Source organism: Homo sapiens, chromosome 12 (genome assembly GCF_000001405.40).
Source record: "Homo sapiens chromosome 12, GRCh38.p14 Primary Assembly".
Classification (NCBI taxonomy): domain Eukaryota; kingdom Metazoa; phylum Chordata; class Mammalia; order Primates; family Hominidae; genus Homo; species Homo sapiens.
This window is the reverse complement of record NC_000012.12, coordinates 4,624,248-4,638,858: the sequence shown is the minus strand read 5'-3', so window position 1 is coordinate 4,638,858 and position 14,611 is coordinate 4,624,248. Positions and strand designations below refer to the sequence as shown.

General features: G+C 39.1%; 1 protein-coding gene and 1 pseudogene across 2 annotated transcripts in view, besides 5 other annotated features; both read left to right on the top strand.

The window, feature by feature from the left end:
• Window positions 1-14,611, top strand: part of AKAP3 (A-kinase anchoring protein 3) — a 33,534-nt gene that overhangs the window by 10,193 nt on the left and 8,730 nt on the right. For both annotated transcript variants that reach the window (NM_006422.4, NM_001278309.2), the window contains exons 4-5: window positions 663-758; window positions 10,054-12,363. In NM_006422.4, coding sequence (NP_006413.4) covers window positions 663-758; window positions 10,054-12,363 — 2,406 coding nt within the window. The remainder of the gene's footprint in view (window positions 1-662; window positions 759-10,053; window positions 12,364-14,611) is intronic.
• On the top strand, window positions 2,499-3,712 carry LOC100420673 (RAB5A, member RAS oncogene family pseudogene; annotated as a pseudogene).
• Window positions 4,880-5,380: an enhancer, noted in NCBI's record as "H3K27ac hESC enhancer chr12:4742645-4743145 (GRCh37/hg19 assembly coordinates)". NCBI's record gives its function as "activates a minimal SCP1, AML or CMV promoter by ChIP-STARR-seq in naive H9 embryonic stem cells {active_cell/tissue: H9 hESC(naive)}" and the evidence as "EXISTENCE:reporter gene assay evidence [ECO:0000049][PMID:30033119]".
• Window positions 5,381-5,881: an enhancer, noted in NCBI's record as "H3K27ac hESC enhancer chr12:4742144-4742644 (GRCh37/hg19 assembly coordinates)". NCBI's record gives its function as "activates a minimal SCP1, AML or CMV promoter by ChIP-STARR-seq in naive H9 embryonic stem cells {active_cell/tissue: H9 hESC(naive)}" and the evidence as "EXISTENCE:reporter gene assay evidence [ECO:0000049][PMID:30033119]".
• Window positions 7,940-8,803: an enhancer, noted in NCBI's record as "OCT4-NANOG hESC enhancer chr12:4739222-4740085 (GRCh37/hg19 assembly coordinates)". NCBI's record gives its function as "activates a minimal SCP1, AML or CMV promoter by ChIP-STARR-seq in primed H9 embryonic stem cells {active_cell/tissue: H9 hESC(primed)}" and the evidence as "EXISTENCE:reporter gene assay evidence [ECO:0000049][PMID:30033119]".
• Window positions 9,803-11,002: an enhancer, noted in NCBI's record as "CDK7 strongly-dependent group 2 enhancer chr12:4737023-4738222 (GRCh37/hg19 assembly coordinates)". NCBI's record gives its function as "activates an origin of replication core promoter dependent on BRD2, BRD4, P300/CBP, MED14 and CDK7 cofactors, with strong dependence on CDK7, by STARR-seq in HCT116 cells {active_cell/tissue: HCT116}" and the evidence as "EXISTENCE:reporter gene assay evidence [ECO:0000049][PMID:35650434]".
• Window positions 9,974-10,806: a transcriptional cis regulatory region, noted in NCBI's record as "H3 fragment used in the reporter construct". NCBI's record gives its function as "negatively affects activity of a beta-globin enhancer-driven SV40 promoter in transfected K562 erythroleukemia cells {active_cell/tissue: K562}" and the evidence as "EXISTENCE:reporter gene assay evidence [ECO:0000049][PMID:30886051]".

The following is a 14,611-nucleotide window of genomic DNA, read 5'->3' as shown; positions in this document are numbered from 1 at the left end:
TCAACAAGGAAATCACTGCGTCCATAGACAAAGGCCTTTTGAATGGCGCACATGACATCTCTTTTGTCCTGACTGATACTCAGAAATTTAGCTGAACCATAGAGGCTGAGAATTCCCCCAGGATCCTTGGCTAATGAGGAGGGATTGGTCTTAAGAAAGAGCTACCAGACTTACTGCTGGTATGAGTAAGTAACAGCTTTAGAAATTAATTAAAAATGAAACAATTACTTAAAAGCTAAGTTGGTGGGGCAAGAACAGACAAAGGAGCAGTAAATTAATTCTATTTTGGTCACCTTGAGTTTTGAGTGTCTACTGAAAATCCTGTGAGTGCAGGGGGAGGGTCGTCAAGCAAGGACATAAAGGGGCGGGACATGGCTGCCTAGGTTCATTCATTTAACAAAGATGTGTTAAGCACCTGTCGCAGATACCAGGCACCAGCTTCTTCCTTAGAGTTACAAATATGTTTAAGAAATATTCCTTCCATTGAGAGCTGAGGATGAAGCTATTCAGGGTGGAGTGGTTCTGAAGTGGCTGTTGGGGAAGGTCTCTATTGAAGGCATTGTTCATCTTTCCCGTGCTTTAGCCCTTTACCACATTTCTTCTTACTTTCATAAAATCTGCCCTTGTGATGACCCTTTCTCATTTTTTTCCCCTGCTTCCAGATGTCAGAAAAGGTTGACTGGTTACAAAGCCAAAATGGAGTATGCAAAGTTGATGTCTATTCTCCTGGAGACAACCAAGCCCAGGACTGGAAAATGGTAAGGGTCAACCTCTTGATAAACACTAGGTTAAGAATATGGGGGCTGTCATTAAGAGTAGCCTTATTCTCTCCACCATACCACCAACCTCTTATTTTTCAAGGTGGGATTCTTGAGGCAGGTGGGAAATCAGCCCTTATAGAACAAAACATTCCCATTTATAGTTTTCTGGAAAAAATTCCCATCCTATGGTATTTAATATGCTATAACTAATGAAATATGTATGTACATATAAGCTGTATAACATATATCATGTATGTATATATAAATATATATGTATATGTCAGCTGTATATTACAGCTATAAAATTTTAATTTTCAAACAGAGAGGAATTGGAGATAAATGTCTCCAAGGCTTATAGAAAATATTTTCTAAAGTGTAGGATGCCTTAAAATTCTCAGAACTATAAACTCTCATCTAAGTAACATTGTCATCCTGCCTTCATCATTCAACAAACATGTATTAAATGCTTACTTAATATCAGGCAATGTATCGTCAGGGTCTAGTCAGAAGATAGAAACCGTACCAGTAACTTAACATTTAAAAATTATTTATTAATAAAACGTAGTTAACTACTAAAAGGCATAAAAGAGGACTCTAGGAATCCCAGAAATAACAAATGCAGAAAGCAGCTACTACCCCCAGGCTGAGAATTACATAAACAAGGAAGAAACTAAGTAAATACTCACAAGAGCTCGCTCTCCCTCAACCAAAGCTGCTTCCCATCTCTTTGGAGAGAATGTGGCTGCCATAGGAAACTTGCCAGAGGGAAGCCCTTTCCTCCTGCTCTGACCATGCAGTGTCCCCCAGTACCCTCTGTCGACAATGCCAACCGCAAAGGAGAAATGTTTAGGGTTTAGCTCTGGTATCACAAAGCAAGGCAAAGAAGGGTGGATTTGGAGTGAGAGACAGTAAGTCAATAACTGGCACAGACACTGTCCTGACTGTCAGGGTCAGAGATATAAAAATAAATTAGAATTCTCTCCTTTTAAGGATCTCATAATCTAATGGAATCACTATTATTAATAGACTCTATCCTATTACATCATTTATCAGACTGGGCACAGTGGCTCACACCTGTAATCCTAACACCTTGGGAGGCCAAGGTGGGAGGATTGCTTGAGCCCAGGAGTTGGAGACCAGCCCAGGCAACACGGCAAAACTCTGTCTTTACTAAAAAAAGAATTAGCCAGAGTGGTTGCACACGTCTGTAGTCACAGCAACTTGAGAGGCTGAGGCAGGAGAATCACTTGAGCCCAGGAGTTTGAGGTCGTAGTGAGCTGTGACCATGCCACTGAGCTCCAGCCTGGGCAACAGTGAGACCTTGTCTCAAAATAAAAAAAAAGTTAACATTTATCAAACATTTATTTGCATGTAATCAAATGCAAATGACCCATCTTCTTCTATTTGTCCAAATCTGGTCGATCTATATAAAGTTTTAAAAAGAAAATATTAACAAATCTACATAAGACATTAGACATAAAGATAATAAATATTCAATTACTATAGAGTAAGGGCCAACCAAAACTGCTTCAACTAGATCTTTGATTTACTTCTGCCCTTTCATTTGGAGAAACAAAAGGCAGATCAGTTTCAATGTTAAATCAAATGAACTTAGTGATTTTTTACTAAGTGAGAAACAAAAAGGTATATAACAGTTACTGCCCCTCTGAACCTTATCATTCATTTTGGAAAATAAAAAGTACACATATCAAAGTAGAAATGTCGGTGAGGGTAGCAGCCCAAAGAGCAGATGCCACGGCCACCACCACCGCCATAGACACACTCTCGTCCTACGGGCCATGCCTGGGGCTTCAGCCCACAGCTCCGCTTGCCGCGTCTGAGGTTTCTTTACCTCCAGAAAGAAGAAAATTGACCGCTTGAATTCTGGAAGTTCATTGAAGAGTCTGAAATTAGGGACTTATTTCAAATGTGAACATGGCTAATCGAGGCGCAAGCAAGACCCTATGGCTCAAATACTGGAAATAAAATATGCCAGTTCAATATGCCAGTATTTCTGGGAGAGTCTGCTGTTGGCAAATCAAGCCTAGTGCTTCGTTTTGTGAAAGGCCCATTTCATGAATTTCAAGAGAGTACCATTGGGGTAACTCTCAAAGTGATAAAAGCTGTTTCTTTGTGAAATATGGGCCCAAAAAGAAAACCAACTGCTAGTGTTGGTGATGGAAGTGAAGAAAAAATGGAGAGATCTAAGAGTGGTGGTTCTTAGCCAGAAAATAGACGTTTTGGATAAATTAAAGTGGTTTTACAGATTCAGCTGATTTTCTAACCCAAAATGTGTGTCTTGATGACACTACAGTATAGTTTGAAATACAGGATACAGCTGGTCAAGAATGATACCGTAGCCTAGCACCAATGTACTACAGAGGAGCACAAGCAGCCATAGCTGTATATGATACCACAAATGAGGAGTCCTTTGCAAGAGCAAAAAATTGGGTTAAAGAACTTCAGAGGCAAGCATGTCCTGATATTGTAATAGCTTTATCAGGAAACAAGGCTGACCTAGCAAATAAAAGAGCAGTAGATTTCCAGGAAGCACAGTCCTATGCAGATGACAATAGTTTATTATTCATGAAGACATCAGCTAAACATCAGTGAATGTAAATGAAATGTTCGTGGCAATAGCTAAAAAATTGCCAAAGAATGAACCACAAAATCCAGAAGCAAATTCTGCCAGAAAAAGAGGAGTAGCCCTTACTGAACCCACACAACCAAACAGGAGTCAGTGTTGTAGTAACTCAACCTCCAGTTTGCACTAGCTAGAATAGTCTTCTGCTTCTTAAATGTTAATAACAATGGAATTGGACCATTTAACCAGCCCAGTATGACTTCCAAAAGAGACTTATGATAGAGTCAAGTTTCTAATGCAGAATTATTTTAAGTGTTTTGAACTTAATTTTTAATAACATGCATGGGTCCCTCTTACTAATGTTTCAGCAATAGGGAAAAATGAGAACTGTGTGTATACTTGTTTCATTGGAAGGTTAGGGGGAATAATTTCTCATCGCTAGCAATATAGACAAATGACTATCTGGACCCACACAGTTAACCAGCCCATTTCTCCACACTGGTGCAGTAGTCACCTGTGGAAAAAAAAATAGAATTTACTAATTTGGGCTTTTCAAAAAACATTCTTTTTGTAGAAGGAGATTCTAAAGTTATTTATGCTTAGCCATAGTATTCAGGCAAATGTTCATTTCTCCTGGTATCAGTATTTTAAATGAACATTCCATATTTTAATAAATGAACCACAAGAAAATAATCCCACATATAAAAGGTGGGGGCTGGAAAGAGCGTTAATGGCATCTAAATTATAGCCAGTCCTGTGTGTGTGTGTTTTTTTTTAATGGGGTAAAAAAAAAAATCAAATGCAATCCCATCTTGTTTTAGGAATTTGAGAACTAATAAATGCATCTTAATAGATAGTGTTCCTTTCAAACATGTGAGTTCTTTAACAAAAATGAAATAAACCAGGTGTCTGTGATATCTAATTAATCACTGCTGGCCATTACATAGGTTTTGTTGTTTGGTGCAGGGAGGGGACTTTTGTTCGCTTGTGACACAATGTAGTCAATGCACTAGCAATTGTGTATATTTAAACTTGATTATTTTAAATTCGATCTTCAGCTGTACTGTCAATAGGGTACTGCATTATAGTCTCCATATATGTATTACTTTTCTGTAATATTTAAGAGTTGCTTAAAAGTATACAAAATGTACAGTTACTAAAACAGCCAATGATTTCTCTCTCCCCTTTTGACAGGAAGGGGCTTCAGTTGTTCCTCCATGGCTAGAACCATAACGAGCAATGTACCCGTAATTTGCAACATAAAGTATTGCAATATGTTAGTAACAATCTTGTAGCCTTGTTTTCCAACCTTCATTTTATTTTGATCAATTCGGTATATTGCACTATTTTAGGTATTTTCCTTATATGAGAGCTACCATATGTGTGTCAGAGATGATTTAATCTGTTTAAGTGTTGGACTGTTAGGAGAACTTGTACATCTACAATAATTCAGAATTAGAAAAATGGGTCACCAGTGTTTAGTTTTATATTGAGGTGCTCAGGTTTGAATAAAGTGGTATAAAAAGCAAAAAAAAAAAAAAAAGAATATAGATATGTCACTTGAAATCTCTGAATAACTGTTGGACTAATGAAAAACAGTTCATGATTATTTGTCAAATGTATTTTCTAGACAATAATTGCTATAGGTGTTTAAAGAATTGATCATTTCAAAATGGGAGGTGGTCAGAGAAAATTTTATAAGGTATGTTTAATTGAGACAAAGGTGGAGAAGAGAAATAGAACAGGAAGGTAGATAGCTGACTTAAAACTACTGAAGCAAAAGATGCTGAGCAGAGAAAATAAAACCCATGACCTCTTCTTATATTCTCCTTCATGGACATGAAAACTTGCCCCAGGATTCAGAAATACTGAGATAATTTGGCATCTTCCTTCCCTAATTGCTCAGAATACTATAGTTGTGTAAGAAGAGGAAGGTTGCAAGAGGGCAAGGGGGTTTGAAGAGATGGATGTTTGGTTATAGACTGCATTGATAAGAAATGAATGTGGGTACTTAGTCTTTCAGTCACTACAGTTGGATTAACCCCTTTTGCAAAATCCCTGTGGATAGAGGGGAGTAATAGACATAAGGCACACACGTTTTAGGTTTAAAAATATATAGACATTAAAAACCCATAAACACAGCAACTTAACACAATTCTGTGGACTCCATTGTAAATCTCTATTCTACGCTGTAGGTTTGGTTTTTTATTTTTATTTTTTTAAATTTTATTTATCTTTTAAAATATATTTTTTGTAGAGATGGATTTTCGCCATGTTGCCCAGGCTGGTCTCAAACTCCTGAGCTCAAGTGAGATCTGCCCTCCTCAGCCTCCCAAAGTGATGGGACTGCAGGCAACTGCACCCAACAGGTTTGGGTTTTTTGTTTTTTTTTTTTTTAATTGAAAAGGGTAAAAGAATAAACTCCACAGCTGCACTATAGTAAGGCTTTCCTGTACTGTTACAGCTCAATAGTATGGAAACACACCTATTTGCAAGTTAATGTGCTTATTCGTAAATAACTAGGTAGTAATATATTATCATTTTCAAAAACCCCATTAAAAAGTGGGCAAAGGGGGCCGGGCATGGTGGCTCACGCCTGTAATCCCAGCACTTTGGGAGGCCGAGGCAGGCGGATCACGAGGTCAGGAGATCGAGACCATCCTGGCTAACATGGTGAAACCCCATCTCTACTAAAAATATAAAAAATTAGCCGGGCGTGATGGCGGGCACCTGTAGTCCCAGCTACTCGGGAGGCTGAGGCTGGAGAATGTCATGAACTCGGGAGGCAGAGCTTGCAGTGAGCTGAGATCGCACGACTGCACTCCAGCCTGGGTGACAGAGCAAGACTCTGTATCAAAACAAAAACAAAAACAAAAACAAACAAACAAAAAGCCCTCTGTTATTTACTGTCCTGAGATTAGGAAGTCAAGCCTAAGAAACACTCTCCACCAGGTTTCACCTGCAGTCCCTAGGAAAACAAGCAGGTATACACTTAGACTTCTCTGAAACTCTTGTTCCTAATTATAGTCTCAACCATTAATATTAATCATAACTGCTAACCCAAAGTTAACAGTTATGATTATGAAAGAATATACACTCTTTCTATATCACAAAAAAACTAGGGTGAGGGGTATATAATTGGGAACATCACACACCAGCTGAAACGCAGATGAGTAGAACTCACGACTACACATGACGACGACTTCCTACAGTCACATACACCCCTTATACCACCTCTCTAAGTGGAGAAGATGAACAGACTCATTAACAGATTTAAAGAGGTAGCCTCTTTATAAGTGATAAAAATAATAAGCAAAAGCATATATACTTTACGCTTAGCCATCAATGTCTCAGTGTTCCATCTTACTTAGAAATGATTTACATATCCAGTGAATATGCATTAACTCAATGTAATACCACTCCAGTGTTTTCAGTTATATAAAGATGTTGGAAACTTATCATTAGGCTGACATACTATAAAACATAATAACTGTTGAAATAAAGTTTGTCAGAATGATTATTCAACTTGGTTAAATGCAAATTTACATTTTTCATAATCTTAAACATTAAATAGAAGTAATGTGGCTTTTTTGGATCTGTAAACCTGTATGAGTTTATGAAAAGCATATCAAAGTAAAATAAAAGCATACAATTGTATAATATCTAACACTGATAAATAAGAAAAGGTATAGCTGTTTTTATTAAACCAAAATTATTAAACTAGTATTATTTGCCAAAGATTTACCTAATTTATGTGAATTTGGGTTTCTAAAATGTTTCTGAGTTAGGTTCTGTAAAAATACTTTGTTTTCTTAGCATTCCCTTTGAGTATTTTAAGTATTAGGAGCTTGATTTCCTTATTTTCTGGGGATACAAGAATATGTAATTTACGTGTGTGTTTGTGTGCGTGTGTGTGTGTGAGCATGCACCAATCAGAATAAACTTCCTTTAAGAGACTTCATAGTATAACACATTAATACTCTCTGGGGGAAGACATTGCTGCTTACATCTAACATTTTTTGAATTACAGACACATAGTGATACAGACACTGATAGAGACAGTTTATAGCTTCAATTCTAAACTTTCAGCCCCACTTTGTGGCAAAAATAAACCATAAACATAAAACTCACCTGTCCGGACATCAAGGAGCACTTCTCCTTCCATGTGAGCACAAACGTCTTAGTTGGTGAGCTTAAGATGGACAAAAAATGCTGTCAGAACAGATTTTCTGTTGCCTCACACCCAGCAGAGAATATAACTCTATAAATCATTAATCCATAAAAGAGATTACCAAATGGTCAGACATAAAATCAAATTTCCAATCATTGCTGCCACCAATTGGCCATAAACAAACCGAAGTGAGAACCAAAAACAAAATTAGTAGAGAGGAAAATTAAAACTAGAAAAACCGAATGTCTGCAAACTTCTATTGCTACTCTGGAGGCTGAGAAAAGACACACCTAGTGCACCTGTTTCATGAGGACATTTATCTCCATTAGATGGATCTATTGGGCATCTTGGTGGAAGACTTCCAAAACCATTAAAAGATAATTTTCAAAGAAGGGCAAAATAATGACTCCCATACATATATAAAAATGAATATCTGTTAAAGATTTTATTTAACTCATTAACAAGGAACTGGTGAGGTTCAAAAGACACATATAGCTTGGAAATATTGAAGTGAACGTGCCATTGGAGGCAAACTGACCTTCTCTACAGTGGAAGAGGCAGTCAGTCGACCCTCCCCTTATAGGTGTCTAGACAAGAATTATATTGCATTGATGTCAGTTGTCTATAGTTAACAGAGTTGTAAAATAGCTCCAAGGGAATGAGAATCAGATAATGTGGAAGGGTATGCTATAGATGATGTGTGATTTTCCACTAAAGCACAAAATATCCCATAAAGTAGCTATTATTCTAATTAGGAGAACCATTTGGGAGAATTTTGAACCAAGCACAATGGATCTTAACTCCGACATGATAACAAGCCACTTAAACCAGTCCTGCAGACAACTAGCACAACTGCTTTTCTTTTCTTTTCTTTTCTTTCCAAGTAATCAAAGCACAGCAGGATATTGTAGACGTGGAGCGCCCAGATTTTAGAATCAGAATTGCATCTGAATACGAAACTCCACCATGGACTAGCTGTGAGATGCCTGGCAAACTATTTAACTTCTCTAAGTCTCTGTTTTCTTACCTGTGAAACTGGAAGAGTAAAACCTATCTTACTAGGCGAATATGAGGATTAAACAAAATAGTGCCTATAAAGCATTTAGCACAGAGCCTGGCAAACATTACGAGTACTTCACAAATAGTAACTAGTAACTATATGACACTTGGTAATAAAAATACCGAATTGTTCTTTAAAGGTGGGTAATATCTGTGGTCATTCCCAGATAGACATATGAACTCCAATAATTACAGTGATTCTTTACATTTGATAATAAATAGGAGACTTTCATATATATTATGTTATTTTATCCTGTGTTTCAGAGTTTTTCCCACATGCAGATTGTACAATTTACAAACATATAAACATGTTCATATGCTTATCACAGCTAGCGTCCATCAAAGAATCTAATAAATTGCCAATACATATTAACTCCTGAATTATAAATCGGATTGTTAAATGATGTCAGTCCATTGGAAGCCATTTAACATATCCAGATAGTGTTTGTGCAGCCTGGCAAAGTGATTAATTATCCACAATTTTCCCTGAATTTTCTCATTTTTTTGGAAACTATACTTGTAATAAGATCGAAATAAAAACAGGTAAACCATAGAAAATAGCAATTAATATTAAAACAAGAAAAAATCTGATTCAGTTCAACTGCTAACTCTTCTATCTAGCTGATGACTGTCAGATCTGTTTTTTAACTTTTATTTTAAGTTCAGGGGTACATGTGCAGGTTTGTTACATAGGTAAACGTGTGTCATGGGAGTAGTTGTACAGATTATTTAATCACCCAGGTATTAAGCCTAGTACCCATTAGTTATTTTTCCTTGTCCTCTCCCTCCTCCCTACCTCCACTCTCCAAAAGGCCCCAGTGTGTGTTGTTCCCCTCTATGTGTCCATGTGTTCTCATCATTTAGCTCCCACTTATAAGTATGAACATGTGGTATTTGGTTTTCTGTTCATGAATCAACATAAATGCCCATCAATGATCAACTGGGTAAGGAAAATGTGGTATGTATACACCATGGAATACTATGCAGCCATAAAAAAAGAATGATATCACGTCCTTTACAGGGACATGGATGGAGCTGGAAGTCATTATCCTTGGCAGACTATCCAATCTTAAAGATATATGTCATTAGAAGCAACATAGTATACTAGCTGAGAGCATGGGCTGTGGAGTCAGACTGCCAGGGCTGGAATTTCTGCTCCATCAATGGTTAGCTGTATTATTTCAAGTAAGTTACAGACTTAACCTCTCACTTCTTCAATTTCCTCCTCTGTAAAAAGAAGATAATAAGAGAGCTAAATCTCAGGTTTAGTATGAGAAATAATTAAATGAGATAATAGACTTTAAATACTTGGAACAATGTCTGATACACAGTGAGTACTTAATAAATGGTTACTTTTATTGCCAAGATGGAGCAAGCTTGAGAGGGCTGATGACATTTGTAACTGAACTTTGAGGTTGTCTTGAATATCCCATATCTTTACTTTGTTATAGTCAGATGAATCCTTGTCTATTTTTAAGGACACCTCCACGGATCCTGTCAGAGTGCTCAGCTGGCTCCGCAGAGACCTGGAGAAGAGTACAGCAGAGTTCCAAGATGTTCGGTTCAAACCCGGAGAATCATTTGGTGGGGAAACGTCCAACTCAGGAGACCCACACAAAGGTTTCTCTGTAGACTATTACAACACCACCACCAAGGGCACTCCAGAAAGATTGCATTTTGAGATGACTCACAAAGAGATTCCTTGCCAGGGCCCCAGGGCCCAACTTGGCAACGGGAGTTCAGTAGATGAAGTTTCCTTCTATGCTAACCGCCTCACGAATCTAGTCATAGCCATGGCCCGCAAAGAGATCAATGAGAAGATCGATGGCTCTGAAAACAAATGTGTCTATCAGTCATTGTACATGGGGAATGAACCCACACCCACCAAAAGCCTCAGTAAGATAGCATCAGAGCTTGTGAATGAGACCGTCTCTGCATGTTCCAGGAATGCTGCCCCAGACAAGGCTCCTGGCTCTGGAGACAGAGTCTCGGGATCATCACAAAGTCCCCCAAATTTGAAATACAAGTCCACTTTGAAGATCAAGGAGAGCACCAAAGAAAGACAGGGTCCAGATGACAAGCCTCCTTCTAAGAAGTCTTTCTTCTATAAGGAAGTGTTTGAATCTCGTAATGGAGATTATGCCAGAGAGGGTGGAAGGTTCTTTCCTCGGGAGAGAAAGAGGTTTCGAGGGCAGGAAAGGCCTGATGACTTTACGGCTTCTGTTAGTGAAGGGATCATGACCTATGCTAACAGTGTGGTATCTGATATGATGGTCTCCATCATGAAGACACTGAAGATCCAAGTGAAAGACACAACCATTGCCACCATCCTACTGAAGAAGGTTCTGCTCAAGCATGCAAAAGAGGTGGTCTCGGATCTCATCGACTCCTTCTTGAGGAATCTCCACAGCGTCACAGGGACCCTCATGACTGACACACAGTTTGTCTCGGCTGTGAAAAGAACTGTCTTCTCTCATGGAAGCCAAAAGGCCACAGATATCATGGATGCCATGCTAAGGAAGCTGTACAATGTAATGTTTGCCAAGAAAGTCCCTGAGCATGTCAGGAAAGCCCAAGACAAGGCTGAGAGTTATTCCCTCATCTCCATGAAAGGAATGGGTGATCCTAAAAACCGAAATGTGAACTTTGCCATGAAATCTGAAACTAAATTGAGAGAAAAAATGTATTCTGAACCCAAATCAGAGGAGGAGACTTGTGCGAAAACTCTGGGTGAGCACATTATCAAAGAGGGGCTTACCTTGTGGCATAAAACTCAGCAGAAAGAATGTAAATCTCTAGGTTTCCAGCATGCAGCATTTGAAGCTCCCAACACACAGCGTAAGCCTGCATCAGACATTTCCTTTGAGTACCCTGAAGATATTGGCAACCTCAGCCTTCCTCCATATCCTCCAGAGAAACCTGAGAATTTTATGTATGATTCAGACTCCTGGGCCGAGGACCTGATCGTGTCTGCCCTGCTTCTGATTCAATATCACCTGGCCCAGGGAGGAAGAAGGGATGCACGGAGCTTCGTTGAAGCTGCTGGCACCACCAACTTTCCTGCCAATGAACCTCCTGTAGCTCCCGATGAATCTTGCCTTAAGTCTGCTCCCATTGTAGGTGACCAAGAACAAGCAGAAAAGAAGGACCTAAGGAGTGTTTTCTTTAATTTCATCCGGAACTTACTTAGTGAGACCATTTTCAAGCGTGACCAGAGCCCTGAACCCAAGGTGCCGGAACAGCCAGTTAAGGAAGATAGGAAGTTGTGTGAAAGACCGTTGGCGTCTTCTCCCCCCAGGCTATATGAGGATGATGAGACCCCTGGTGCCCTTTCTGGGCTGACCAAGATGGCTGTCAGCCAGATAGATGGCCACATGAGTGGGCAGATGGTAGAACATCTGATGAACTCAGTGATGAAGCTGTGTGTCATCATTGCTAAGTCCTGTGATGCTTCGTTGGCAGAGCTGGGAGATGACAAGTCTGGAGATGCCAGTAGGCTAACTTCGGCCTTCCCAGATAGTTTATATGAGTGCTTACCAGCCAAGGGCACAGGGTCAGCAGAAGCTGTCCTGCAGAATGCCTATCAAGCTATCCATAATGAAATGAGAGGCACATCAGGACAGCCCCCTGAAGGGTGTGCAGCACCCACGGTGATTGTCAGCAATCACAACCTAACGGACACAGTTCAGAACAAGCAACTCCAAGCCGTCCTTCAATGGGTAGCTGCCTCTGAGCTCAATGTCCCTATTTTGTATTTTGCTGGTGATGATGAAGGGATCCAGGAGAAGGTAAGAAACAAAGGCAGAGGAATTTGGAAGCTTTATTAAGATTTAACTAGGGCTTTAAGTTCTGGTTTCTTTCTGAATGGGAAGATAGCCACAGAGAAGGTAAAATGGGAACAGTGGGATTTGAAGATCATGCCTCCTGGCAGAGATAATGGATAAAGTAAAATTAGATTTTGCCCAATCCAAGGCGTATCAAAGGGGAACAGGGGGATAAATGATATGTTTCTGTTTTCTGCGTTTAGGAGTAGGAGTGTACAGATGAGGAACCTCCAAGAGACCTAGTGAAAGAATCAGATTAAGGTCTGGGCTCTAGGCTGAGTTTTGGATAGGACAGCATTGCTCAAAGGATGAGATGAAGCTGGAAAGTAGCCCTGGGATGTGTTAGGGAAGAGGCAGAGTCTGAATTTATGACCTTTTCAAACATGCCATTACTGTCTTAGCTGGTTGTCTAGGTGGCGTTGGGGATTTGAAAGGATTCAGTGGATAACACCCCTCTTCCCCCTACCCTAAGCTCTGAATCAGTTGACAAGTAAGACTAAAGCATAAGGTAGATGGGAAATCAACTTATCACTGTTATTACTGATAAAGGTAAACGTGCCTGATAAGTTCTTGTCCTCCACCCAAGGTGCCCAGTAAGCATCAGAACTGCGCGCCAAAGGGAGGGTTTGAGTCTGGAGAACACGCACACTTACCCCAGATGCTTCACACTGAAGTGCGGGAATTAAAAAGACCATCCCTACAACCTTCTCTTCTCTCTCCTCTCTGCCTTCTCGCTCGCTTGCTCTCTCTCTCTCTCTCTCTCTCTCATTTTCTCTTCCTCAGTGCTTTTGATTGTCTCCTCTTGATTGAGAAAAGTGGACCAACTGCTGTTAATCATTAAGTAGCAAAGGGTGGCACAAGAGGCTAGAATTATTTAGAAAATTTCATCATCATAGGAATCAGAAGATAAGGAAAAACAGGCTTTCTCTGCTTAATTAAGTGGTATTTACATGGTATTAGCAACGCTTGCAACTGGGTCGCTATATTTATCTGATGACTGGGAAAACACACGATTACAGAGCATCCAGATTAGGCTATATCAAGCCTAAACAAGAAACTGTATGGTCTTTGACTTTGGTCTTAAAAAGACTACACGTGCTACTTAAAGTGTAGTCTGTGGACCTACAACATTGGCATCACCTGGGAGCTTTTTAGAAGTGCAGAATCTCACACTTCCCTCCAGACCTACTGAATCAGAATCTTCATCTTAGCAAAATACCCAGGTGAGTTGTGTGCACATTCAAGTTAGGCTAGAAGACAGTGTGAACTTCCAATATTAGATCTATTCCTAAGGGTCGTTGGCAAGCTCTGTCTCCACGCAGGGTTTCCAATCCGTGAAACAGACAACTATTTTACAGTATATAGCAATTAGTAGAGGTGGGGAGTGGGAGGCTATATGCTGAAGAAAATTTAAACTGATGAAAAAAATCTAAAAGTAAGCATAGCTTTCAGGTGTGTAATGTGTGAGAAAGCCTTTTGTAGCCATCTTTGAAATCAAACCCCTCATATATAACATACATAATACATTCTGGCTTTAGACTTTTTTTGTATTGGAATGTGTTGTTTTAGATTATTTTAAATTGAAACATGTATCTAAAATAGGACAATAGACTTGCAGTCCCCCACTTTTATATACACACACACACACACCTTTGTCTACTCTAAAGATAAAGCCAGTCATCTATTTTATTGACTCCCTCTAAGAGTAGAAGGAATGAGAAGCAGCATGTTCAAACTTCAACTAATAAATAGACGCACTGAATATTAGTATATTTTTAAGAACAGGGATGACATAGACACCAAAGAAACTACCTAAAAATGACTTTTTGAAAAGAGATTAATGTATGCAAATATTCTCATACTGATTCAGGTGATTGAACCTGCTGTCACTGGGATGTCTGTGAGCCCGATGTCTTTAAATACATTTGTATTTATTTTTGAATAAATAATATGTGTGCATAGTTCAAAATTCAAAAGTACAAAAGGATGCATGGTGAAAATTAAGGGTTGTTTTCTCATTTGTGTGCTCCATCCCATTGCCTTCCCTGGAGAAAAAAATTGTTTGGATCAATTTCTTATTTATCCTTCCAGCAATACACACACACACACACACACACACACACACACACACACACACACACACGTAAAGTCACAAATTATTATTTTTTATATATATATCCTCTTCTGCAACATATAGAGTTGCCACATTCTT